This window comes from Homo sapiens, chromosome 14 (assembly GCF_000001405.40).
Source record: "Homo sapiens chromosome 14, GRCh38.p14 Primary Assembly".
Classification (NCBI taxonomy): Eukaryota; Metazoa; Chordata; class Mammalia; order Primates; family Hominidae; genus Homo; species Homo sapiens.
This window is the reverse complement of record NC_000014.9, coordinates 23,127,665-23,154,472: the sequence shown is the minus strand read 5'-3', so window position 1 is coordinate 23,154,472 and position 26,808 is coordinate 23,127,665. Positions and strand designations below refer to the sequence as shown.

The following is a 26,808-nucleotide window of genomic DNA, read 5'->3' as shown; positions in this document are numbered from 1 at the left end:
GCAGCCAATCACAGAGCCGAGCGTAGCCACACCCACGCCCCCACAGGCCCGGCTTCCCTGCCCAGCGGCTCCAACCTCCAGCCTGGGCACCCAGACCCAGAGGGCTGCTGGGAGGGACATGCCTCACCCCTTTTGCTCCAGCTGGAGGGGAGGGAGTCTGTGGGAGCTGGCCAGAGCGTGGCAGAAGGCAGAGAAGTGAACGCCCCAGCAAAAGGTGAGGCTGAGAAGCCAACCCTTCTGGCAGGCCATGACCCAGGTGAAATTTATGGCGTTTCAGAGGGCTGGGGAGCTCCATCCAGAAAGGTGCCTGTTTTGCAGGTTTGGAGAGGAACAGGGCGTTCTGATTTCTACAAAGTGGCGTCACTGCTTCCTTTTTCAGCAACCGTCTGCTTAGTACATTCCATCTTGCTGTTTTCAGTCCTGGCCTCTCTCTGTTCTGCTCCTCTCAAGCCCTTTTTCTCTCCCACTCATCTGCATTGTCCTCCCCTTGCTCTCTCCCGCCCTGTGGTTTCTTGTGCTCTTTCCCTCTCTTCTTCACCATCTGTCTTTATGGACTTTGGCAAGTCTGGACATTTTTCCCCCTTTCTACTGCCTGTTTTCACTTATCTGAACAGACAAGGAGGAGTGGCCTGGTTCTGGAAATGTTAAAGGAAAACCAAGCCTTTCCAAGCCAGTCCAGTCCACTCCTGAGAAAGGTGCAAGCCAGCGAGACCGAGAAATCCAAATGGAGTTCCGGGAGTTTGGAGGGAACATGTGACTGTGACATTGATTAAGGGGGCTGGTGGGAGGGGACCCAAGGTGGAGATCCCTGTGGGAAATGACTTTCTAAAGCCCTGGGAGCAATGGATGCACCTTTCTTGGTTTCTGAGGCATAACTGTGAAAGTCTTCCCCTTTTGCCATATTGGCATCTTCCTTCCTGCTGCACAGAAAGCAGTCCAGGCTGGGGCTAACCAGTGTCTTGGTGACAGACCCAGAGTCCCAAGTGGCACTGGCAGTAGTGACCATGGGTACCACTGACCCAAGCAGGAGGAGAGATGATGTGGGAGCGGCCAAGGGAAAGCAGAGTGATCTGTGTATAATGAAGGAAGGCGGGGCAGAGGCAGAACAAGCAACTGGGAATTGGGCTGTCCCAGTCTGGTCTTTGCTGCGAATTAGCTGGGGTCTAAATTCACTCACATATAAAATGAGGTTCTGGGGCCGCCATGGTGGCTCACAACTGTAATCCTAGCACTTTGGGAAGCCGAGTCAGGCAGATCGCTCAAGCCCAGGACTGGGAAGCTGCAGTGAGCTATGATCATGCCACTGCACTTCAGCCTGGGCGACAGAATGAGACTCCCATCTGTAAAAGAAAAATAAAATGAGGTTCTGGGTCTCTAAGGTCATTCCTGCCTTCTGATCACCCATGAGGCTGGACACAAGCCTTGGGTGGTAGGGCGCAGGCTTCAAATATTTACCTCTAGGGCCAAGAGTTGACTACAAGGAGAGTCCCAACTGGTTCATTCTTCTTAGCACTGTCCTTATAACAACCAATCCAGCCCCGTATCCAGGTGGCCCTATCCCAACCTTTACCCTGTCAGACCAGAATAGTGTGGCTCATCGAGTGGCAGCTGGCTTAGTAGAAGAAATGAGATTGGTTCAGGGATCCATGTGGGAATGTTCATTGGCTCCCTGAGGGAGGCACAAAATGACCCCCTGCTGGCCCAGCTCAATGAGAAGCCAGAGTCCTGTATCCAAAGCAAGGGAGCACCTGAAAACATCACCGGGTGTGGCGGCTCATGCCTGTAATCGCAGCACTTTGGGAGGCCAAGGCAGGTGGCTCACTTGAGCCCAGGAGTTCTAGAGACCAGCCTGGGCAACCTGGCATAACCCGTCTCTACAAAAAATACAAAAATTAGCTGGGCCTGGTGGCACACACCTCAGCTACTCAGGAGGCTGAGGTGGGAGGATCACCTGAGTCTGGGGAGGTTGAGACTGCAGTGAGCCATCATCATGCCACTGCACTCCAGCCTGGATGACAGAGTAAGACCCTGTCTCAAAAAAAAGAAAACATTGGTGGCTCATGCCTGTAATCCCAGCACTTTGAGAGGCCAAAGTGGGCAGATTGCTAGAGCTCAGGAGTTCAAGACCAGCCTGGGCAACATGGCGAAACCCCATCTCTACCAAAAATACAAAAAATTAGCTGGGCGTGGTGGCACATGCCTGTGGTCCCAGCTACTCAGGAGGCTGAGGTGGGAGGACTGCTTGAGCCCAGGAGGCAGAGATTGTAGTTTGCCAACATCAGGCCACTGCATTCCAGCCTGGGTGACAGAATGAGACTGCTCTCAAAAAAAAGAAAACAGTTATCAAGTAGTCTCTCTCTGGGAATAACGTGTACTCTTAGTGAGCTTTTTTTTTCTTTGCTTTTGTTTTGTTTTGTTTTTGTTTTGTTTTGTTTGAGGTGGAATCTCTGTCACCCAGGCTGGAGTGCAGTGGCACGATCTTGGCTCACTGCAACCTCTGCCTCCCAGGTTCAAGTGATTCTCAGCCTCCCGAATAGCTGGCATTACAGGCATGCTAATTTTTGTGTTTTTAATAGAGACAGGGTTTTGCTATATTGGCCAGGCTGGTCTTAAACTCCTGAACTCAAGTGATCTATCCGCCTCAGCTTCCCAAAGTGCTGGGATTACAGGTATGACCCACTGTGCCCAGCAAGCTTTTTGCTTTTTTTTTTTTTTTTTTTTTTAAGAGACAGGGTTACCCAGGCCAGCATGCAATGGCACAATCACAGCTTACTGCAGCCTTGAATTCCTGGGCTCAAGTGATCCTCCCACCCCAGCCTCCCTTGTAGCTGGGACTACAGGTATGTGTCACCACATCTGGCTAATTTTCTGTTATTTTTTAAGAGACAGGATCTTGCTGTGTTGCCCAGGCTGGCCTCGAACTTCTGGCCTCAATTGATCCTCCCACCTCAGTCTCTACTGTCACTGGGATTACAGGTGTCAGTGACTGTGCCTGGCTGTACTTTGTGAGCTTTCCTAGAGGAAGGAGAGACAGCCACAATATGTACCCTCTCCCCACAACTCTGTCTGGCATCCGGGGCACTTGCTGGCCTTGCTTCATGGGCCATCCTATGACATATTAAACCTGATATTTACTCCCTAGAGCAGCACGGTGGCTTCTATGTGCACCCTCCTTGAATTTTCTGTGTAGATGTATCTATCTGTCGTTTCCATTCAGTAAGCTTTAGCGCCTACTGTGTGCCAGACAGGACCTCAAGGCCACACCAGCCACCAGGGGATTGTTTATGGCTGCGTGTGCACCGCTGGCTGTGGACAGTCTCCGTGGGGCCTGAGGAGTGGGGCAGCACGGGCAGCAACCGCACAGCTCTTCAGCTTTCTGCAGGGTGTTCCTCCCTAGCAGACAGAGGCACGTGACTTATAAGACCTGGTGGTATTTTCTTCACTAGTGGAAACTGAGGCACGGGAATATGTTTGACCATCTGGGCTTCTGGTCCAGTGCGTTAGCCTGTGCTCCCCAGCCCCACAGCCTGTACCTGTGACCCACTCCCAACTTCCAGACAGCTGGGTTGAAGGACCCCAGAGCAGGTCATTTGTGAAGGAGCATCCTCCAGAGAAAAAGATGAAACAGATTAGAAATTGAGAAGGGTCAGGGGCACGATGTACAATGTGGTCTGATGCATGATATGGTCTCTAAAATCCTTCAAACCATTCCCATTCCCCGCCACTCTGCTTTGCCTGTGAGTGTCAGCATGATCCTGAGCAAATCACATGCTCTTTTTGACTTTCTTAGTCTGCAGTTTCTTAAGATGAACAATAAAAATAATCATTTAACATTTTATGCAACAATACACAGGATACAGAGTATCGTCACATGATTCAAATGGACCATAGGTTTTACATGGAGAAAAGGGAGGCTCAGAGAGGTTAACTGAGAGTACGTGACTAAGCTGGGAAGGGCACCATGGCCGCTGAGTTCCTCAAGTTCAAAAGTTCTGTGATTCTCAGATTCAGACCTGCCAGGTCCCTCTGAGAGAGCCGACTCTGCCTCCTTCCCTTCATGCTGCTGGTGATCCTCCTCCCCATTCTTACCACTTCACACCTTACACAAGCTCCTCTGAGCTCCGTTCACTTGTTCCACGCCCGAAAAAGACTCCAGAAACCCACATCATCCTTCACTTACCAGGTGCTACTAGGTAGAGTTGAGGGGAAGAGTGATAAGATCACAGCCTCAGCTCTGGACGATTGCAGGGACTTAAAACCAGCTCCACGACTCCCCAACCCATCCTTAAAACCTTCTAAATGAAGATTTATTTGTTTATGCTAATGATTCATTGGTGTTCTATTTCAAAAGGCACTAAAGAAATTAATTTTAAATTGTCTCTTTTACCTATAATCTATAATACTGTCATGCATTGCTTAATGATGGGGATACATTCTGAGAAATGTATCCTTAGATGATTTAGTCATTATGCAAACATCATAGAGTGTACTGACATGAAACTAGGTGGCATAGTCTACTACACACCTAGGCTACATGGTGTAACCTGTTGCTGCTAGTCTACAAACCTATACAGCATGTTACTGTACTGAGCACTGTAGGCAGTTGTATTTGTGCATTAAACATATCTAAACAGAGAAAAGATACAGTAAAAATATGGTCTTATAATCTTATGGGACCACCAAGGTATAAATAGTCTGTTGTTGCCCAAAATGTCATTATGTAGCACATGACTGTATATTGATTTAGGGTTAAAAATGGGTTGACTGAGCCCGGAAGGATACAGGACAAGCTCTTCCAAGGTGTTTTTGGTGTTGTCTACCACAGGACAGTACACGGTGGGGCCACTCTGTCCCCTCTGATGTGAAGAGTGTACTCAGACTCAGGACTCTTGGGATAATAATCTCGTAGCTTTCTATCTTGACTTCTTTTATGGCCTTTGATTGTGGCTTCTGGCCAGTGAAATAAGGAGACCAACAAAATCATGGGGGCAGAAAATAAAGGATTCATGTCTGTGAACATCCTGGCACTCCACTCGCCTTGCAAGAAGTTAGTGATTCTTGGGCCAGTGTTTGCGTATCTGGGTTGTGTGGGTGGGCCTGAAGTTGTAAGGAATACAGGGGAGACTGGGGGAGAACCTGGATTAGATGAAGGAGGGATATTGTATCTTTTGCCCTGGATTTCTCTAAAAGGAAAGAGGAAAAACACTGCTAGAGTTACAAGGCAAGGCTGTTTGCTACTGTATTGAATTACCAAATGGAGGAAGAGGAAATAGGAACACTCTAGCTGTGGGATCCCAACTAGGGTTGGGAAGCTGGAAGAAGTGCGAAGCGGCTATGTGGTGTGGAACTTTGCTAACCAGGTGAACACACTAGTGACCTCACCTTCACTACCCTCTTCTAGAGAGCGCCATCCCTTCCCTCCATCTGGTGTCCCGCAAGGCCTGTGGACAGACACTCTTTTGGGCTCCTGGTGTGTGTTGCCTGGCTGCTGTTTAAAAGCTTTTCTCTTTAAGGGTATGTCCCTGCTGTCTGGTCTTTCTGTATAATGTCTGTCTGGTATCCATTTCCTATTGCTACTGTTACAAGTAACCACAAACTTAGTGGTTTAAAACTATGCAAATGTACTATCTTAGTCCTGAAAGTCAGAAGTCCTAAACTCTAGCGTCAGCAGGCCTGAATTTCTTCAGGAGGCTCTGGGGAGAATTCCTTGCCTTTTCTAGCTTCTAGGGACCTCCCACATTCTTTGGCTCATGGCCCCATCTTTCATCTTCAAAGCCAGCAGTGTAGCATCTTCAAATCTCTCTTTCTCTCTGTCTGATGTTTCCATGATCACATGTCTTTTTATAACTCTGACCTTCTTGCCTCCCTCTTGAAAGGACTCCTGTGACAACACTGGTCCCTCTGGATAATCCAGGATAATCTCCCCATCTCAAGATCCTTAACTTGGCTGGGCGCGGTGGCTCAGGCCTGTAATCCCAGCACTTTGGGAGGCCGAGGTGGGTGGATCACCTGAGTTCAGGAATTCGAGACCAGCCTGGCCAACATGGTGAAACCCGTCTCTACTAAAAATACAAAAATTAGCCAGGCGTGGTGGCGGACACCTGTAATCCCAGCTACTTGGGAGGCTGAGGCAGGAGAATCGTTTTAACATGGGAGGCAGAGGTTGCAGAGAGCTGAGACTGCGCCATTGCACTCCAGCCTGGGCAACAAGAGCGAAACTCTGTCTCCAAAAAAAAAATCCTTAACTTAATCACATTTGCAAAGTTCCTTTTGTCATTTAAAAAACATAGTCACAAATCTCAGGGATTAGAACGTTGATATCTTGGATGGCCATAATTCTGCCTTCAACTGCCCCCCATCCCAAAGAGATATGCTGTCATTGCCAAGGGGAGGAAGTGAAGGAGAGACTTCTGTAATTCCTGGAGATCAAAGTCTGGGATCAGAGCTGGGATGGGGCTGAGGGCACCTTCTCTGTAGGGAACCCAGCCCTCCACAGTGAGCAAGCCAGTTGCAGGTCTGCAGCGAGGACTCTGAATCCCTCTGCCAGTCCTGCAGAAAGCATTGAGCCCATCTCTCCTGCTTGGCAGCTGGGAGGCCCTGGACTCTGGGCAGTGTTCCAGGTTGCTAGAATCTGAGTTTTCCTCCTCCTGCCTGACTCATTATTTGTATCTCTTCTGTCACCTTGATGTTGAGTTCTTCAAACTGGGTGGATTAAGTAACCAGCCCCTGACTTCAGCATCTTCTTGAACTCTTGTCTTCTTAATAGTCTTTCATCTTATTTTTTACCCAGGAAGCAAGAAAGAAAGAGGGGAGGAAATGCCCAAAAAATACATACAAGCCTGGAATTCCATGAGGGCCTCTAAAGAAGCAGTAACCACTCCCGCAACTAGGTTACAACGGACAAGAACCAGTCTTATGACTTTTTATTTTGTCCAGTTGGACCAGGATTATAAATTTCTCCATGTTGCCAGGGTCTCCTCCTCCTATAGAAGGCATCTCTGATTCCCCTGGGCTGAGTTAGTGGTTCCTCATAGATGCCCACTAGCTTCCGTGAATAGCTTTGCCATCACCTCGTTGTTTTGTGGGCATCTCTTACTTCACCCGTCGTCCCTGTTATACTGCCAACTTCCTAAAGGCAGGGACTTGTGTCTTATCAATAACCTCCCCACCAGCTAGAATGCCTAGTACATGTAGGCCCTGCATGAATGACGGATGAGTAGATGGGTGGATGGATAGACAGATGGATGGATGGATAGATGATGGATGGTTGGATGGGTGGGTGGATGGATGGATGATAGATGGATAGATGGGTGGGTGGATGGATGCATGGATGATGGCTAGATGGGTGGATGGGTGAATGGATCTATGATGGATGGATGGATGGATGGATGGATAAAAAGCCCCTCACATTTCAAAGCTGCTATGGCCAATGATCCTCATCTACATGTGGCTTCCCTGAGGTCACTGTGTCTCAGGAATGCGGAATTCAGGGTCTAGCCGAGAAGAGAGGGTTCTAGAATATCATCGTCCGCAACAGACAAGTGCCAAGCAGTAGCTAGCCAGCAGCAGGGCTCCTGACCGGGGCAGGAGCTTGGCGAGCACCCACTGACCTTTCCTCTCTGGGTGGAGGCTCAGGTTTCAGCCTGCTGTGAGGGAAGCTGTCTTGTGGTACCAGGAGACTGATACCCTCTTTCCCCTCAGTCACATGGTATGATCACCCAACTGCAGGGTGAAGGGCCAGATCTGGGGCCTGCAGCCATTGTTCCAAGGAGATTAGGTGTCACAGGCAGCCTGCCTATCCCCACCTCATTCTCAGAATTTCTTCTTGTTTCTGAAAGATTACTGTGAAGGTGAAAGGTTAAATATTAGTCAAGGGCTGAGTTCTTGGGAAGTGATGGAGATAAGGTTAGGCAAGACAGAAGATAGCCACAGATAGGTTATTTTACAAAGCATCCCTATCTCTGTTACCCCAGGAAGACCACAGAGCTGATAGTTTGAAGGTGTCTTTCTGTGACTCAGTAAGGTCCATCTTGTAAAGAGATGATTTCATGTTTTCTTTCCCAGCACACAGGGAGGTGGTCTGCTTGGGGGAGGAGGAATTTCTTTGAGTTGTCCTGCTCTGCCCTTATTTTCCTCAAGCACTTTCTGTCATTTCCTCGCCCTCCCCTCTCCTCCCCTTGGAGAAGGATTTTCTTCCCTGAGATCAAGATCCAGTTCCTTGTTGTGTAATCCTTACCTATCCCTGAGGCTTATGGGGTTTGTTTCCTAATCTTCCTTCCTTCCTTTTATCAATCTCCTTTATCCTTGAGTTACTGCTGTGTCTGCCTGAATTCCTGGGTGAAGGGGCGCAGCCTTGTACCTTGCATGCCTTGGGGCCTAGGGAAGAAGCTGAGATCACAGACCCAGTTGTTTAGAGTGACTTAGGTTGGCTTGTCACCAGGCACATGATCCTGAAATCCTTATTGAATTGAGTAAGACAAACCAAATGTGTATTTATCAGGATGTCAGTCCGTCTGGAACATTTGAGTATTTACAAAGTGTTCTCCCTGCTCGGGCACTTAAAATCCTTCCTCTGACAACATGTTTTGCTTCTCCTTGCATGACATCATCTTGGATAATAGCTCTTCCATGAGGAGTCAGGAGCTTCTGCTCTTGAAGTCAAGTTCCCTGTTGCCCTTTGGCAACATGAAGCCAACTAGGGATTGTGTCTCCTTTTGATGGGGTTCCTGGGGAGCAGAAGAGGTTGATGTGCGCTGTGGAATGTGTAGACTGAGATGATATTGGAAGGCTAATGAATTGTGATATTTTAAAATTCATTTATTAAATACTTGCTGAGCATCTACTATTTGCAGGCGCCAATGATAAGTCCTGAGATTTAAAAACATGAAAACATTTACTTGCCCTTGGTGTCTTAAAAAAAAAAAAATTTTTTTTTCTTTTTTTTTTGAGATGTGGTCTAGCTCTGTCACCCACGCTGGAGAACACTGGCACAATCTCGGCTCACTGCAACCTCCGCCTCCCGGGTACAAGTGATTTTCCTGCCTCAGCCTCCTGAGTAGCTGGGATTACAGGCGCGCCACCACCACGCCCAGCTAATTTTTGTATTTTTGGTAGAGACGGGTTTCACTGTGTTAGCCAGACTGGTCTCGAACTCCTGACCTCATGATCTGCCCACCTTGACCTCCCAAAGTGCTGGGATTACAAGCGTGAGCCACCATGCCCGGCCAGAAGCAGGTCATTTTAATACAAAGAAATGCATCCCGGCCGGGCGGTGGCTCCTGCCTGTAATCCCAGCACTTTGGGAGGCTGAGGATCATGAGATCAGGAGATCGAGACCATTCTGGCTAACACGGTGAAACCCTGTCTTTACTAAAAATACAAAAAATTAGCTGGGTGTGGTGGCGGGCGCCTGTAGTCCCAGCTGAGGCAGGAGAATGGCGTGAACCCAGGAGGCAGAGCTTGCAGTGAGCCGAGATCGCGCCACTGCACTCCAGCCTGAGCGACAGAGTGAGACTCCGTCTCAGAAAAAAAAAAAAAAAGAAAAAGAAAAAAGAAATACATCCCAACATTAGATATAAACAAAGTGGTCTGGGATTGTTCTAGAGAGAAGGAACAAACTTTGTTCCTCGTCTACAAAACACAGCTGATATATCTTCCCTTGCAGGCATGTTGTTAGGAATAAATAACATGCTGAATTATAGAGATTCACAGAACAGGTGACATTTAAGCTGGATCTTGAAAGAGGAGAAGGGGTTTGCCAGGTGGAGATGGCGCACAAAGGAAGGTTACAGACGGTTAATGTCAGGACCATCCTACCCTAACCAAATGTTCTCAGCATCAAATAAGGTTGGGAAATACTTGGAAAGTAGAAGTACCATATAAGAATACGGTACTGATAAAACTTGATCAGCCATTCAAGTGAAGTCAGAGCGACCACACCACCCAGCTTATTTTTAAAATTTTTTGTAGAGAATTACAACTCCCCATGCCACCAAAGAAGATTTGTAAATGGATGGTAAATAAGCACATGAAGAGTTGCTCAACATCATTAGCCATTAGGGAAATGCAAATCAAAACCATAATGAAATACAACTACATGCCTATTAGCCAAAAAAAAAAAAAAAAAAAAAATTGTGTTTAAACTGACAATACCAAATGCTGGGAAAGATACAGAGCAACAGGAACTCTGACATGAGAGTAGGAATGCAAAATGAGACAGCCACTGTGGAAGACAGTTTGGCAGTTTCTTAGAAAGTTAAACACATTTACTCTATGGCCCAGGATCTCATTCCTGGGGATTTACTCAAGAGCAATGAAAACCCCACTCAAAGATCTCTACAATCCACAAAAAGAAAAAAGACATCTACACAAGTATTTATCACAACTCTATTCATAATAGTCCCACACTGTGAGCAACCCAAATGTCTATGGAAAAACAAACAGATACCTTTATATCATAGAATGCTATTTGGCAATAGAAAGGAACAAATTGTAATATATGCAACAACATGAGTAGATCTCGAAAGCATTCTGTGAAGTGAAAGAAGCCAAACACAGAAGACCACATATTATATGATTCCATTTATGTGACATTTTGAAAAAGACAAAGCTATAGGGACAGAAGTCAAAGTAATGGTTGTAGAGGTAGGGGAAGAAGATTTGCCTAACTGACTACAAAGGAGCATGATGCAAAAGGAAACTTTTTAGAGTGTTGGGAATGTTCTATATATGAAGTGCTGAAGTGATTAAGCCATTAAATGCATTTGTCAAATCTCATCAAACTGTACACTTTAAAAAGGTGAGTTTTAGTAAGATGTAGATTATATCTCAATAAACCTAAGTAACATAAGATTCCCCTAAGCCTCTGTTACCCCAAAATCAGGCTCAGGAAGGTGGCTTCCTGACTCCCACCAGCTGCTCACAGCTTCTCTTGCACAAATAATAACTTGAAGACAAAGCCCATACTTGTGCCCTGATCAGATGTGATTTTACCCCCAAAGCCAGTGCCTACACTTCCATGCCTACTTCTGGCTTCCAGCCCTCAGCAGGGCATGCTGGGCCCAAGCTCTAATTTGGGACATATAATCCCCATTTGCAACCCATTAACCTAGCCAAAGTCTCTGGTCCCTGGGGTTGAGCTTGCTGGATGTCTGGCTCACCTACTACAATGTCATCGTCAGGATGAGGGAGCAGTTCTGCTTGTGTGCCTTGGGCATCATGCAGCCAGATACAGCCCCTGAAGGTCTGTTTGGGGGTCTTTCATTTCAGTGCTCCTCACATGGGTCAACTGTTCCAGTGTGCGGTGGGCCACCCGGGTTCAAGACATCTTCACAGCTGGGAAGCTCCTGGCCTTGGCCCTGATTATCATCATGGGGATTGTACAGATATGCAAAGGTGAGTATCGCAGGAAAAACAGGTACTGCCCAGCTTTCCTCCCCTTGCATGTACACACCCTCTCAGCCCAGCTTTGGAAGTATGCCACACCCTGAGATTTCCCCAATTCTAGCCTTGAGTGACTTCTCTTCTTCTTCCCTTGCTTGACAAAAGGGAAGGAGAAACCATTTTCCCCGAGGTGGCTGGGAGTAGGGAATGCTCCCTTTAGGCTGCAAAGGTCACCTCTCCCATGCTTACCTCAAGGCTGTAGCACAGCTAGGTAAAGACCCCACATATCGGCCGAGTGTGGTGGCTCACACCTGTAATCCCAGCACTTAGGAAGGATGAGGCAGGAGGATCACTTGAGCCCAGGAGTTTGAGACTAGCCTGAACAGCACAGCGAGATCCCATCTCTACAAAAAAATTTAAAAATTAATGGGGCATGGTGGTGCATGGCTGTGGTCTCACTTACTCTGGAGGCTAAGGTGGGAGGATCACCTGAGCCCAGGAGTTTGAGGCTGTAGTGAGCTATGATTGTGCCACTGCACTCCAGCCTGGGCGACTGAGCAAGACCTTGTCTCAAAAACAAATAAACAAACAAAAACCCCAGATCTCTAGATTCCTATTGTCTTTTTGCCCCAACCCCAGGGAAGCTCCCTGCATCTTCTGTTGAATCTTGTCCACATCTTAAAGTGGAGGACAGAGAAAGGTATTTTATGTTTCAAAATTACTTATAATCTCTGAGAGAGAGAGCTCTGCATTCCCGGGGCCCCTGCCAACATTCCCCACTGGATTTGGCCCTTTCCAAGCCTGAGGCTATATTTGGTTTCCATGGGACCCATGGCACCATGAGGCTCTGCCCAGCGTCACTGCCTCACGGAGAAAGTCAGGTGACAAACAGGGAAATTTCCCACAAGCCCTGAAGGCAGTGTGGGCAGCCCGGACTTCTACTCCAGGAAACATAATTAAGTTTCTGCTATATAATATGCCTGATTATTTTAAACAGTTGGATTAAGTTCTTTAACAGGTTATATATTGCTTTCAGGCATTTAGACTTAAGGAAATCACTGCGCTATCTTGTCAAAAATAGTGAGTCCCTCCTAAGCTGGCCTCAATTCTTTCTCCTGGTCACACTAATCTCCTTATTTCCTGTCCCAATGCTAAACTGCAGATGAATAAGTAACATATGATCAGTTACTCTCTATCTCATTGAAATTTTAGCCAGTCAGCAGATGATTCCAAGGGCCCACAGTCTGCAGCACACTGTGCTAGGGGGGCTGGGAAGGCAGTTTAAACAGCTCTTTGCTTAAAAATTCCTGTCCTTGGGGAATCTTGAAAAGAGAGACGGCCAGGCATGGTGGCTTACGCCTGTAATCCCAGCACTTTGGGAGGCCAATGCAGGCAGATCACTTGAGGTCAGGAATTCGAGACCAACCTGGCCAACATGATGAAACCCTGTATCTACTAAAAATACAAAAAAAAATTAGCCAGGCATGGTGGCATATGCCTGTAACTCCAGCTACTCAGGAGGCCAAAGCAGGAGAATCACTTAAACCTGGGAGGCGGAGGTTGCAGTGAGCTGAGATCGCGCCACTGCACTCCAGCCTGGGCGACAGAGCGAGACTCCGTCTCAAAAAAACAAAAAAGAAAAGAGAGACCAAACACACACCTCAGAAAGAGATAGGAGGATATCAACAAAGCAAGCAGCAAAACAAGCTTGAACTAATATAGCATTATGGAAACTTATGTTTGAGTGTTTGTTGTTCTGGATGCTTGCTTTTTTTGTTTGTTTGTTTTTTTCTTTTTTCTTTTTTGGAGACAGGGTCTTGCTCTGTCATCCACCCTGGAGTGCAGTGGCACAATCATAGCTCACTGCAGCCTCAAACTCCTGGGCTCAAGTGATCCTCCCACCTTAGCCTCTCAAATAGGTGAGCCTATAGGCATGCACCACCACACCCAGCTAACTTTTTAAATTAGTGGTGGAGATGGGAGTCTCACTATGTTGCCCAGGCTGGTCTCAAACTTCTGGCCTCAAGCATTCCTTCTGCCTTGACCTCCCAGATTGTTTGGATTACAGGCCTGAGCCACTGTGCCCAACCCTGGATGCTTCTTCATGAAAATGTAGAAACTTAGAGAAAGTGGTCAGGAGATTACCAATGACTCCAATCCTGTATTTCCAAAGCCCAATTTACCATGTCCTTTCCTTTTAAATAACTTTGCCTTTTACAAAAGGAGCATTCAGAACGGCACTTAAACCCTCATTTGGACTCGTAGTTTCCGGGGTCTCGGAAGCCCTGGACCTGAAATTCCCTGCTCCCTTTATCCCAATTTATCCAATATGTTGGGTTCACTGGAGACAAGACAGAGTTGGTGTCATTGCCACAGGGAGGGGTGAGAGGTGGGCCAGGGCAGGCCAGGGGCTGCTGGGCCCCTGACTTGTCTCACTGAGCGGCCTCCTGTTGCTTGTGTCCACAGGAGAGTACTTCTGGCTGGAGCCAAAGAATGCATTTGAGAATTTCCAGGAACCTGACATCGGCCTCGTCGCACTGGCTTTCCTTCAGGGCTCCTTTGCCTATGGAGGCTGGAACTTTCTGAATTACGTGACTGAGGAGCTTGTTGATCCCTACAAGTGAGTTGAAAGAGCCTGGCTATTCCCTCTCCCTTGAAGGGCCACAGCACCTGCTGCTGGAAAGAGGGAGCAGGTGTCCATTGCCCACCTCGCCTTCCAAAGCCCCATTCTAACTGTGATTTGATCTATCCTGAAGTCGTAGTTCATTTCCCAGGCACTTAAACCATTTGCCGTTCACCCCACCAGGAGGAGGAAAGGATCCAGTGACTTTCCCAGAGCAGATTAGAAGCTGAAAACTGTCCTGCAGTAACACTACTGCCTTAGAGAATGAATTGTGCCCTGAGAGGCTTCTGGGAATCTTGCTTGTTTCAGGACAGGCCGGTCTTGGTGTCTTGAGGCAGGGGGAAAAGGTGCATTGTGGAGATTCAGGTCAAGATCAACAGGTGTGGAGCGTATTTCCAACCTGAGTTGTTTTATTGCCTTCATTTTTTTAACTTATTTTTTCTTTTGTTTTGTTTTGTTTTTAGACAGGGTCTCACCCTGTCACCCAGGCTGGAGTCCAGCAGTGCAGTCATAGCTCACTGCAGCCTCAGTCTTCTGGGCTCAAGCAATCCTCCCACCTCAGCCTCCTAAGTATCTGGGACTACAGGCACATGCCACCATGCCCAGTTAATTTTTTAATTTGTAAAGAAGAGGCCTTGCTATGTTGCCAGGGCTGGCCTCGAACTCCTGGGCTCAAACAATCCTCCCTCCTTGGCCTCACAAAGGGCTGGGATAATAGGTGTGAACCACCACGCTCAGCCTCATTTCCTTTAAATTATCCTGCCCATATTGAGACAAAGCCCACCTCCCAGGGAAAGGAAGCCTCACAGAAGGCTGTAAGGCTACACGCATGCAGAAAGACAGAAGACACCCCCTGGACTCCATGGCAAGGCGGGTGTCCCGGGTGCCAGCCCTTCCCCTCACCTCCTCTCCCTCTACAGGAACCTTCCCAGAGCCATCTTCATCTCCATCCCACTGGTCACATTTGTGTATGTCTTTGCCAATGTCGCTTATGTCACTGCAATGTCCCCCCAGGAGCTGCTGGCATCCAACGCCGTCGCTGTGGTAAGAAATGAAAGTCCCAGAGTCTCATACCAGGAATGCAGACATAGACTTGCCTGCTGTAGCCCCACTCACTTTTCCCTGATCCATGGCCTTGTGGAAGTGGAAATCACCCCCAAGTTCTCAGGGCAGAAACCACATATGTCATTGGCTGGGGTATCTTTAAGTGCCCAGGAGCAAACAGGTGGCTGGGTTGTACCTAGAACAGCTACAATGGCAGAACCGAGTCATTGCCACAGAGACCGCGTGGCCTGAGAAGCTATAAGACATTTACTATCTGGCCCTTTACAGAAAAAGTTTGCCAACTCCTAGTCTCGGGCACTTAAAGCTCTAAATGTGAGAGTGGTATGAAGCAGACAGGCCCCTCCTCAGAAAGACATAATCTTGCACAAGACATGCCTTTTCTCTCTGCCTTCTCCTCCAGAAGCAGAAGTCAGGTGTGCTCTTTGGGGAAAGAGACCATGCTGGTGCAAGGGGTTGGGATCCTTCACATCTAAGAAGGACCTGGGAGGCACCTTGCTCCCTCACCTGGCATCAGGCTGGGCCACCACCCAGCCTGCCAGTCTCTTCACTGGCCTTATCTCAAAAGACTGTAAAGAAAGAGGTCCTCCCATCTCCTGGGGCAGCCTGTTCTTATGACCAACAGCCTTCTATTCTGAACAATCTCTCCTTGGTAATGTGCTGTAAACCTGGCTCAGGGAATATAGAAAAGGCTGGTCTCCTGCATTGTATAGTCCTTAAATACATGAAGATTCATCTATAGCTTCACAGCCTTTTCTTTCTCAGACTAAGGAGGGGCTCATTCCTATTATTTTACCCCCAACTCATCTGTTTTGATGAATTGAGAAATTCTCACCCTGTGATTCTGGATTAATCCCTATTTTGCAGTTGGAGACAGAGGCTCAAAAATCATAAACTTTGCTCAAGGTCTCACAGCTCCTAGCTGGAGGGCAAGGATTTGAGCCTGGATCTGCCTGACAGATCTGCCTGACAAGCCTGTGCCCTTCCCTGTGCTGGAGAAATCATATAATGTATGTAAGGCCTGGATCACACCACCTGGCTTCCAATGCTGGCCCCTCCACTCGCTGGGTGTGTAATCTTAGGCAAGCTACTTAATCACTATGTGACTCAGTTCCTCACCCATAAAACAAGATTAGTAAGTGTTAGTTCATTATTATTATTACCAGTGTGTACTACCTCCTTCAGTTAATTAGCCTAAAACATGCATTAACCACCCTGTGTAGGGGTCCACCCTTGAGAGGGTGGGGGCAATTAAGAAGCTTGGCGAGAGAGAATTAGCAAGGGTGGAGATAGGAGAAACGGTTTCCCAGAGTGAAGTGGGAGCTGAGGGGTCGGGGAGTGGTGACCTCTCCTTTGCTTATCTCCTTGGTTCCTCTCCCAGACTTTTGGAGAGAAGCTCCTAGGAGTCATGGCCTGGATCATGCCCATTTCTGTTGCCCTGTCCACATTTGGAGGAGTTAATGGGTCTCTCTTCACCTCCTCTCGGTGAGTGCTGCCTGGGCCCTTCCCCGGCCAGGGGCCACTCTGCTGTGCACTTTGCTATTTGTATATGGTGGGCTTGTCTCTGTCAGCAGGGGTCTGTGTGGGCATCTGGATGTTGGGCTTGCAGAGGGGTGACTGCTCACATGAGGGCGTGTGTGTCAGTGTGGATGCTGAGGAGTGTGTGCTGCTCACGTGGTCACCTGCGATGTGTGTGGCATACGGGTCCTAGGTGCTTCACATGTAGTGGCCTGTCTCATTTCAAAAGGAGCAGAAGACAGAGGAGGCCGCCAGCCTGCCTGACGCCGCCCCCAGTCAGTGGCTGTGGTTGGCAGCAAGGCAGTATCTTGGCTGCAGTCCTGTACCTGTAAACAGGCTGCTGCTGGCTAGAAAAGAACCCCATTTGGAAAGGGACCAAGAGGGAGACTTGTGCCTGGGGCCTCTGGGTCTGGCCTCCCATGAATGTTCTGGAACTAGCCTGCAGGTGGGATGGCTTCACCCTGATTGCCCCAAGAATGCAGAGCTCCTCCCTGCTCAACAGAGAGGTGGCTGTAGAGGCCTTTTTGAGGCCACCCATGAGACTCAGGTGGAGAATGTGAAGTGAGAGGGTGGGGAAAAGTGGAAAGCAAACATTTGTCCAAAGAAAGAGCCTTTTATCCGTGACCCCCACCCCAGAGCACTCTCAGAAGCCAGAAGTGCGAGCGGGTCCACGAGTCCCAGGTCCTGCCTCCATGCATCCAGGGACCCGGCCCTTTCTTTTGCTGTCTTCAGAAGGGGCTGTTGAGGCTAGCAGATGTTGAATGACTTCCATTTGTGTGGTTCAAGGGATCCTCCCAGGTTCTTAGAAAGCACCCCCTGCCCTCAGAAAGTACAGTCCTGCTCCAAAGATGAGTCCGTGAGTTCAGCTGCTTCCAAAGCCGTCACATCAGGAAGAGTTCCTGTGAAATAACAAGGGAGTGCAATGTTTTTAGGACCCAGGGCTGGAAAGAGGTGGTGTGGGTGTCCCCTGTACCCCGGGACCCTGTGACGCTCACCCACAGCAACCTCGTGTGCATGTTACACAGGAGCAGTGGCCACACGGAGGCCCCGCCGAGGCCAAGCGGTGGAGGAACAGTGACCCGTGAGGCTCCCTGAGATCTATTGGAGGAGAGTGACTGGCTACAGTCACTTTAGAGTGGGGTTTGTCCCTCAGGCAGGCCTAGCAGCGGTCTGCGTGCATGTGGTCTAGTCGTGTGTGCATGCAGGAAACGGTGGCGCATGGTGTGCTCCACCTCCGATTCAGAGGCCAGACCTCACCCACCCAGGCCTCCCCTGCTCATCTTTCCAGTTCCTTCTTCCTTCCTTCTCCTTCCCTCCTTCTTTATCTCTCTGTCACTCCTTTGTGTTCTCGGGTAGGGAGAGGATGATCCTTCCTGAAGAGTCAGAGTGTGTGGATGTGTGTTATGCTTAATGTCATCGTCTCCTCCGTTATCGGCTAGCTGGGCAAGGACTGTCTCTTGTGAACCTGACACTTGCAAATGCTGTTGGATCTGGACAATTACACTTGGTCTTGTCTGCATGTGGAGGGGGGACGTGAGTGCAGGACCCTGGCTATGTGCACGATGAGCCCCACAGAGCACCTGGTGCATGAGACTGCCCTGTAGAGGGGCAGTAGCATGGGAGAGGGGACAGGGATGTGTATGGCTGCATGAAACTAGTGACACCGGCCTAGGGAGTTCATGATGGTTACTGCTTATGGGTACTTGGGGATACAGTCAGCTCCCACACTTCTGATTAGCTGCTGCTGTTCGCTTCAGTCTACTCCATACACAAATTACAAAGTAAATGACTATTCTCCTCTGAACTCCCAGTGTGCTGAATATGTGCCTTTTTGTTCCTATCAAGCTGTACCCTGCCTGTCATCCCTTAGGTGGGCCTTTCCCCAGAAAAAAGAAAAAAGTGGTCCAATTTGCACTGACATGTAAATTACTGTTGACAGCTTCTAATATTCACTTTTCTCTTAGGAGAGTAAAAGGGAAGGAGGGCTGATTTTTATGTTCAAGTTTCATATTCATATGTATATAATAGATGTACATATTTTCAAGCTACAGATGATGTTTCAATACATTGATATAATGTGTAAAAATCAAATCAGAGTAATTGAGATATCCCATCTCCTTCAATATTGTCTTTTCTTTATGCTAGGAACATTCAAATTATTCTCTTAAAATTTTTCTTTTTTTTTTAAGGCAGAGTCTCGCTCTGTCGCCCAGGCTGGAGTGCAGTGGCGCAATCTTGGCTCACTGCACACTCTGCCTCCCGGGTTCACGCCATTCTCCTGCCTCAGCTTCCCGAGTAGCTGGGACTACAGGCGCCTGCCACCACGCCTGGCTAATTTGTTGTATTTTTAGTAGAGACGGGGTTTCACCATGTTAGCCAGGACGGTCTTGATCTCCTGACCTCGTGATCCGCCCGCCTCAGCCTCCCAAAGTGCTGGAATTACAGGCGTGAGCCACCGCACCTGGCCTAAAACTTTTCTTTTTAAAAATAACTTTTATGTCCAGGCGCAGTGGCTCACACCTATAATCCCCAGCACTTTGGGAGGCTGAGGCGGGCGGATCACAAGGTCAGGAGTTTGAGACCAGCCTAGCCAATATAATGAAACCCCACCTCTACTAAAAAAAATACAAAAATTAGCTGAGCGTGGTGGCAGGTGCCTGTACTCCCAGCTACCCAGGAGGCTGAGGCAGAAGAATCACTTGAACCCAGGAGGCGGAGGTTGCAGTGAGCCGAGATCGTGACACTGCACTCCAGCCTGGGCAACAGAGCAAGACTCTGTCTCAATAAAAATAAAAAATATTAAAAAAATAATAACTTTTAGGGCTGGGCGTGGTGGCTCACGCCTGTAATCCCGGTGCTTTGGGAAGGCAAGGTGGAAGGATTGCTTGAGCCCAGTAGTTCCAGACCAGCCTGGGCAACAAGGCAAGACCTTGTCACTACAAAAAATTAGCAAAGAAAAATAAGTAAAAAATAAAATTGATTTAAACATCAATATCCTAGTTGTGATATTATAATATAATTGTGTAGCATGTTACCAATGGAGGAAACTGGGCAAAAGATACATAGGATCTCTCCTTATTATTTCTTACAACTGTACTTGGTTGTAAGATTCACTGAATGCAAATCTACAATTATCTCAAAATAAAAAGTTTCATTTTTTAAGTTAACTGAGCACGGTGATATGTACATGTAGTCCCAGCTGCTCAGGAGGCTGAGACTAGAGGATCACTGGAGCCCAGGAATTGGAGGCTGCAGTGAGCTATAATCACGCCACTCTACTCCAGCCTGGGTGACAGAGCAAGACCCCATCTCTAAAAATTGGAAAAATAAAAAGTTTAATTTTTTAAGTTAAAAAATCTTTATTCTGATTATAAATATTCCATCTATTTTAGAATTTTATTCATTTTTTCCTTTTCCTTATCTTTTCTTTTTTTTTTTTTTTTTTTTTTTGGAGACAGGGTCTCACTTTGTCACCCAGGCTGGAGTGCAGTGGTGCAAATACAGCTCACTGCAGCCTCAACCTCCCAGGCTCAAGTGATCCTCCCACCTCAGCCCCCTCAGTAGCTGGAACTACAGGCACGCTCTACCACGCCTGGCTAATTTTTGTATTTTTTGTAGAGACAGGGTTTCACCATGTTGCCCAGGCTGCATTTTGCGATTTTTAAAATTTTTTCTCTAATGTATAAGGAAGAAAATTAAAATTAACCATAATTTCACCACCCAGAGACAATCAGTTAGCATTTTAATAAATAGGCCCATAAATAATCTTAAAATTAATTGGCATTTGGGTGTGGTGGTGCACACCTGTAGTCCCAGCTACTTGGAAGACTGAGACAGGAGGATCATTTGAGTTTGGGAGGTCAAGGCTACAGTGAGCCATCATCGTGCTACTGCACTCCAGCCTGGGCAACAGAGCAAGACCATGTCTCAAAAAAAAAAAATTATTTGCATTATAGTTTTCAGTCCTGTTTTTTCATTTGATGTTATATTTTGAGCATATTCTCATGTAATCAAATTTTTTCAAAAACATTATGACTACATAATGTTCCCTTTTTTTTTTCTTTGAGACAGAGTTTCACTCTGTCATCCAGGTTGGAGTGCAAGGGCATGATCTCTGCTCACTGCAACCTCCACCTTCCGGGTTCAGGCAATTCTGCCTCAACCTTCCAAGTAGCTGGGATTATAGGCACGTGCCACCACATCTGGCTAATTTTTGTATTTTTAGTAGAGACGAGGTTTCCCCATGTTGGCCAGGCTGGTCTCAAACTCCTGACCTCAGGTGATTCACCCACCTCAGCCTCCCAAAGAGCTGGGATTACAGGCATGAGCCACTGTGCCTAGCCCATAACATTTCATCTTATGCCAAATTCATTTTATCGACCTCTTACTTTTAGGCACTTACGATATTTCCAATTTTTTCTTTCTCTTTTTTTTTTTTTTTTTTTTTGAGACAGGTTCTTGCTCTGTTGCCTAGGGTGGAGTGCAATGGCACAATCACAGCTCACTGCAGCCTCAGCCTCCCAGGCTCATGTGATCCTGTCACCTCAGCCTCCCGAGTAATTAGAACAACAGGCACATGCCACCACACCTGGCTAATTTTATTTTTATTTTTTGTAGAGACAAGGGTCCACTATTTTGCCCAGACTGGCCTCAAACTTCCGGGCTCAAATGATTCTCCCGCCTCAGCCTGCCAAAGTGCTGGGATTGCAGGTGTTACCCACCGTGCCCAGACAGGATATAATTTTTTTAAACTCAATCCCACAAGACAGGATATAAATTTTTAAGTACAATTTACATACAATAAAATATGCAGGCTGGGCGTGGTGGCTCATGCCTGTCATCCCAACGCTTTGGGAGCCCGAGGTGGGAGGATCATTAGAGCCCAGTTCGAGACCAGCCTGGGCAACATGGCAAGACCCTGCCTCAATTTTTTTTTTAAAAAGCAGATCATAGGCTGGGCATAGTGGCTCATGCCTGTAATCCCAGTACTTTGGGAGGCCGAGGCGGGCAGATCACCTGAGGTCGGGAGTTCGAGACCAGCCTGACCAACATGGAGAAACCCCGTCTCCACCAAAAATACAAAAATTAGCTGGGTGTGGTGGCGCATGCCTGTAATCCCAGCTACTCGGGAGGCTGAGGCAGAAGAATCGCTTGAACCTGGGAGGCGGAGGTTGCGGTGAACCAAGATCGTGCTATTGCACTCCAGCCTGGGCAACAAGAGTGAAACTCCGTCTCAAAAAAAAAAAAAAAGCAGATCATAAATGTTCATTTTGATGAGTTTTGTGGGGGTTTTTTTGTTTGTGTTTGTTCATTTTTGTTTTTTATTGTTGTTTTTTAGAGGCAGAGTCTCACTATGTTGCCTAGGCTGGCTTTGAACTTCTGGGCTCAAGCAATCTTCCTGCTTCAGCCTCCCAAGTAGCTAGAAATATAGGTGTGTGCCACTGTGCCTGGCTTCCATTTGATGAATTTTGACAGTTGTCAAAATTCAACCACTACCCAAAACAAGATAGAGAACATTTCCACCACCAATTCCCTACTCCCACAAAGACAACTAACTACTCTCTGACTAGGACAAGAGTGTTTTTAGGCCAGGCGCGGTGGCTCACGCCTGTAGTCCCAGCACTTTGGGAGGCCGAGGCAAGTGGATCACGAGGTCAGCAGTTCAAGACCAGCCTGGCCAAGATGGTGAAACCCCGTCTCTACTGAAAATACAAAAATTAGCTGGGCATGGTGGCACACACCTGTAATCCCACCTTCTCGGGAGGCTGAGGCAGAGAATTGCTTAAACCTGGGAGGCGGAGGTTGCAGTGAGCCGAGATTGCAGCACTGCACTCCAGCCTGGGCGACAGAGTCAGACTCCATCTCAAAAAAAAAAAAAAAAAAAAAAATAGAGTGTTTTTAAAGCTTTCCATATGCAGTTCAGTCCCAGTGTATTAGGGAATCTGCATCCTTTGAGGATGTGAGGAATGCTTTTAAAGAGATGAAGATTTTAGGCAACAGACAGAGGCTGCTCCTGCAGCCTTCCAGGCATTGGGAACACCCCACTGAGTGACAGTACAATTATCAGTAACCCTGAGCCACCCATACCACATTCAGGGTCTAACATACCCAGGGTTCATCCACTTTTCCACTGGCTGCCTCTGGTTTGCTTGCACCTGCATTTGTGAACACAGGTTCTGTGACTGGTGGGGTGGAAAGTATGCATGTGAAGGCGGGTGCCTGGTTGGAGTGGGGATGCCCCTGTGTGGGCAGAAGGTAGGCAAGGATGAAGGAGCTGGGGCTTGGTGGTCCCTGGGTTATCCCAGGCTGACCTGCTTTTCTCCCTGACAGGCTGTTCTTCGCTGGAGCCCGAGAGGGCCACCTTCCCAGTGTGTTGGCCATGATCCACGTGAAGCGCTGCACCCCAATCCCAGCCCTGCTCTTCACAGTAAGGGCCCTTCCTGCTGTAACTCTCCACACACCTCCCTCTCTTTGTGCCTAGTCTAAGCTGGGAGTTCATGCTTTTCACACACACCCCTGTTACCCTTGCAGTCTGCTGCTAGGTCTCACTGGATCTTAGAGGATCTGGCAAATGATACCCATCATCTTTGTTAATATCAAGAGATATAGCAAGGAAAGATCCTGAGTCTTGAAATACCTAAGGCTCTCAGGCTGACTTATTTCCGTTCTCCCATCCTTTTGGGTCAGACTGAACTGACTGTCTCAGGATTCTACAGCCTCAAAAAAAATATATCTCCCTTGGCTCTCCTCGCACCTGTTACCACAGGGTTGCAGCACTGGCCTCTGCTCCTGGCTGGTTGGTCCCTGCAAACACCCACTTCCCCCATCAAGCTTCAGGGCAGCCTGCCAGTCTCTTGGGAAACATCATTGAAATGAAGTTAGTGTTAACAGTACACCAAATACGAAAAATAATAGAGGAAGACTGATAAACTGGAAACTGTGCAAAGGAAACTTGGGACAGGAAAGAGATGGGAGTAAAATATCCCCAGAGTAGAATCATTTTGAGAGAGCTATAGGAAGGAACAAAGACTTGTCCCCATTGAGTCTTTTGAGTTATTTTTATTTTCCTTCTGGATCCTGAATAAAACACTAAAAATGACTTTGGTCCACTGGTGAAGCAGTTAGCAATCAGAATAACAGAGCTCTTGGGAGCCAAGAGCATTTTACAGCATTGCTGTACAATTTCAGAATGTTCAGATGCAGGATGAAGGTCACCTTGACTGGTTGGTTGTCGAAGGTGGCTGGAGAAGACAGTACTCCCAGTGGGCCACACACATTTTTTTGTTTTGTTTTGTTTTGTTTTTTCCAGTTAGAGCTATTGGTGCAGTAGTGTGACTAAAAGGCAGATGTAGCAAGAACCATTAAAATCTTCTCGATTATTTTAACCATCGGATCTCACAAGAGAACAGAACCTTTTGTTGACCTTCACAAGTTATCAGAGGGGAGGAGCATGGTTCCAAGAGAGCCACAGAGATGATTTTGAAGTTGGAAAGTAGACTCTGTCAAGAAAACCTCATAGGGATGTTATGAGGGTTAAGTGAGTTAATCTTTGTCAAATGCTAAACATAGAGACCTGGCACACAGTAAGTGCTATGTAACCAGTTTTGAAATTAATAAAGAAAAGGAAGGAAGAAAAATAGATGACTCAGCCAGGAGAAAAGGATGAGGGCAGGAATACAGCCTTAATCTGTTGTTAACAATCTTCCCTAAGGGATTTTAAAAAAATGAATTTAGCTTGAGCTATAACCAACAGAGGCATACAAATGAGACCGGGGCTGACACAGAGCCAGGTAATACCAGTGTGGCCAGTCTAGCTGCTTATGTCCAGTATCCATTCTAATTGGCTAGTGCCCGTGCCATACGAGTGGTTAAATATTTTGATCATCACCCCTGTAATAAGAAAGGATTTCCTAGCAATAAAGATGTTGTAACATATTGGGTTACTAGGGGAGGTTCTAAAGTCTCCATTTCGAGACATCCATTATACGATGGCATCATCTGCCTGGAGGCTGGGGGACAGCCCCTAATCTGTAATACCAGTCTCTGAATATCTTTCGGATCACTGATGAGCTCCTCCCACTTTCCCAGTGCATCTCCACCCTGCTGATGCTGGTCACCAGCGACATGTACACACTCATCAACTATGTGGGCTTCATCAACTACCTCTTCTATGGGGTCACGGTTGCTGGACAGATAGTCCTTCGCTGGAAGAAGCCTGATATCCCCCGCCCCATCAAGGTGAGAGAAACTCCCTTTGGGGTCCCCTCCCCTTCCTCTATGGTTCTAGCTGCAGTTCAGATTTTTAAATCACCTCTGTTCTTAGCTGCTGACCACACGTCATCATCTCTGATGGTAGCAGACCCTTTGGAAAGCAAGGGCCATTTGTGAATGGGACCACTATTTCCATTCTCCACTGGGGATGAGATCGGAGCAGACTGCAGCTGGGGAATAAGTCAGATCAAATGTGACTTTCATCATGACATTCCTTTGTTTCCTACCAGTCTAAGCCTTAAACTCCAGCTGACTTTTCAAGGTTCTCTTATCTCCCCAACACTTCCTCCTTGTCCCTCCAGATAGCTGGGTTCACTATGTGCTATGTCTCCATCCCAGAATGACTTCCTCCTCCCATCTGCCCATCTACATTTTAACCATTTTCCAAATGCGCCTCAAGTACCTCCTCTTTCTTGAAGTCTTCCAGTCTACTGCAACCTCCCATGATCCTCCCTTTATAAACTCCCACAGTCCTACACATATAGGGTGCTCAGTGAACCTAATATTGCTACAAGATATAACTCTGTGATAGGAATTAAAGGGATTGCTCAGAACAGGACATGCTAGAGCATTATGAGTTCTCCTACGAATTAGAAGAATAGAGTGTACTCCAGAGCTATTTGAACAATCCTATTCTAGAAACAGTGACTAGATGCTTCTAGAAGATCCTTCCAGCTGAAAAATCAAAGGCTCTCCAAATCTCTCAGTTCCTCACTGGCATTTCCACCGCCATTTTCTACTCTCACACTTAGAAAATCTGCTAGAGGGAAGAGGAGGTAGAATAACCCCATGTCCCCACCACACACATCCCTTCTGAGCGAGGAAGACAAGGAAGAGAAAGGCAGCCGAATCAGGACTGCCCCTGGAGCCCTGAAGAGGATACTCTCAGGAACTCCCCACATGTGGCCCATAAGGAGCTGACATTTGCCATATTGTGCCCACATAAGGGCCCTGCACAGAAGTGGGCAAGGACCAGGGAGCCTGAGTGACTCGAATCGTCTCCTGCCTGCACCTTGTGCATTGCCACACCTCCCCTCCACCCTAGGACCTCAGCAGACACACCCATGTGCCAGCAAGCTTCTCCATCCCTGTGGGCTTCTCTGGCTGCCACGGGCACATGGCATGCATGATGAGGCCTTGTCTAACCACACCCAAGAGCGAGGACATGGGCAAGGAGGATCGTTTCCTCCCTAACTCCTCCCCATCCTCTTCCTGTCTGACCGACCATGTTCATCAACATTTGTTTATATAGCCCCTGCCCTACCAGGGGTGAGTGTGGGACCACAGAGCCGAGGGAAGCCCAGCCTTTGCCCTTGAGGATGTGTCTCTGTGGGTGAAGAAGAGAGAGAATGCCCCAGTCCCTAGTCCTGGGGGCCACGTGGCCTACACAGTTCATACGCCTCATGCCTCTGCTCCACAGATCAACCTGCTGTTCCCCATCATCTACTTGCTGTTCTGGGCCTTCCTGCTGGTCTTCAGCCTGTGGTCAGAGCCGGTGGTGTGTGGCATTGGCCTGGCCATCATGCTGACAGGAGTGCCTGTCTATTTCCTGGGTGTTTACTGGCAACACAAGCCCAAGTGTTTCAGTGACTTCATTGGTGAGTTGTTGGAGGCTCTGGCTGGCTTCAGGGCCTCCTGGGCTGGAATGCAGTGGTCAGTGATGGGGTTGGGGAGCCACCAGGGCCAGGAGATCTAGGCTCACCTTCTCCTCAGTCCACAGAGCCCTGGAAGAGTCCAGAGCAGGGGAAGCAGATGCCTTTTCCCAGAGACCTCTGAGGGTAGAGAACAGCTGGCATTTCCACACAGACCTTAGACCCGCAAGAATAGGCAACCTGGGCTGGGCACAGTGGCTCACGCCTGTAATCCCAGCACTTTGGGAGGCTGAGACAGAGGATCACTTGAGCCCAGGAGGTTGAGACCAGCCTGGTCGACATAGCAAGACTCCATCTCTG

At 47.8% G+C, this 26,808-nt stretch overlaps 1 protein-coding gene across 5 annotated transcripts in view, besides 1 other annotated feature; it reads left to right on the top strand.

Annotated features, from left to right (window-relative positions):
* SLC7A8 (solute carrier family 7 member 8) overlaps nt 1-26,808 on the top strand; it is a 58,366-nt gene that overhangs the window by 29,188 nt on the left and 2,370 nt on the right. For 2 of the 5 annotated variants that reach the window (NM_012244.4, NM_001267036.1), the window contains 7 exons: nt 11,269-11,394; nt 13,849-14,002; nt 14,926-15,049; nt 16,449-16,552; nt 22,916-23,012; nt 24,674-24,823; nt 26,277-26,454. In NM_012244.4, the coding sequence (NP_036376.2) occupies nt 11,269-11,394; nt 13,849-14,002; nt 14,926-15,049; nt 16,449-16,552; nt 22,916-23,012; nt 24,674-24,823; nt 26,277-26,454 (933 nt within the window). Of the gene's footprint in view, nt 1-79; nt 215-11,268; nt 11,395-13,848; nt 14,003-14,925; nt 15,050-16,448; nt 16,553-22,915; nt 23,013-24,673; nt 24,824-26,108; nt 26,455-26,808 lie in introns of those variants that run through there. The other 3 variants (NM_182728.3, NM_001267037.2, NR_049767.2) reach the window with 3 other exon arrangements.
* Nucleotides 16,579-16,873: a silencer, noted in NCBI's record as "tiled region #2117; K562 Repressive non-DNase unmatched - State 14:Gen5'". NCBI's record gives its function as "represses a minimal TATA promoter and a strong SV40 promoter by Sharpr-MPRA in K562 cells {active_cell/tissue: K562}" and the evidence as "EXISTENCE:reporter gene assay evidence [ECO:0000049][PMID:27701403]".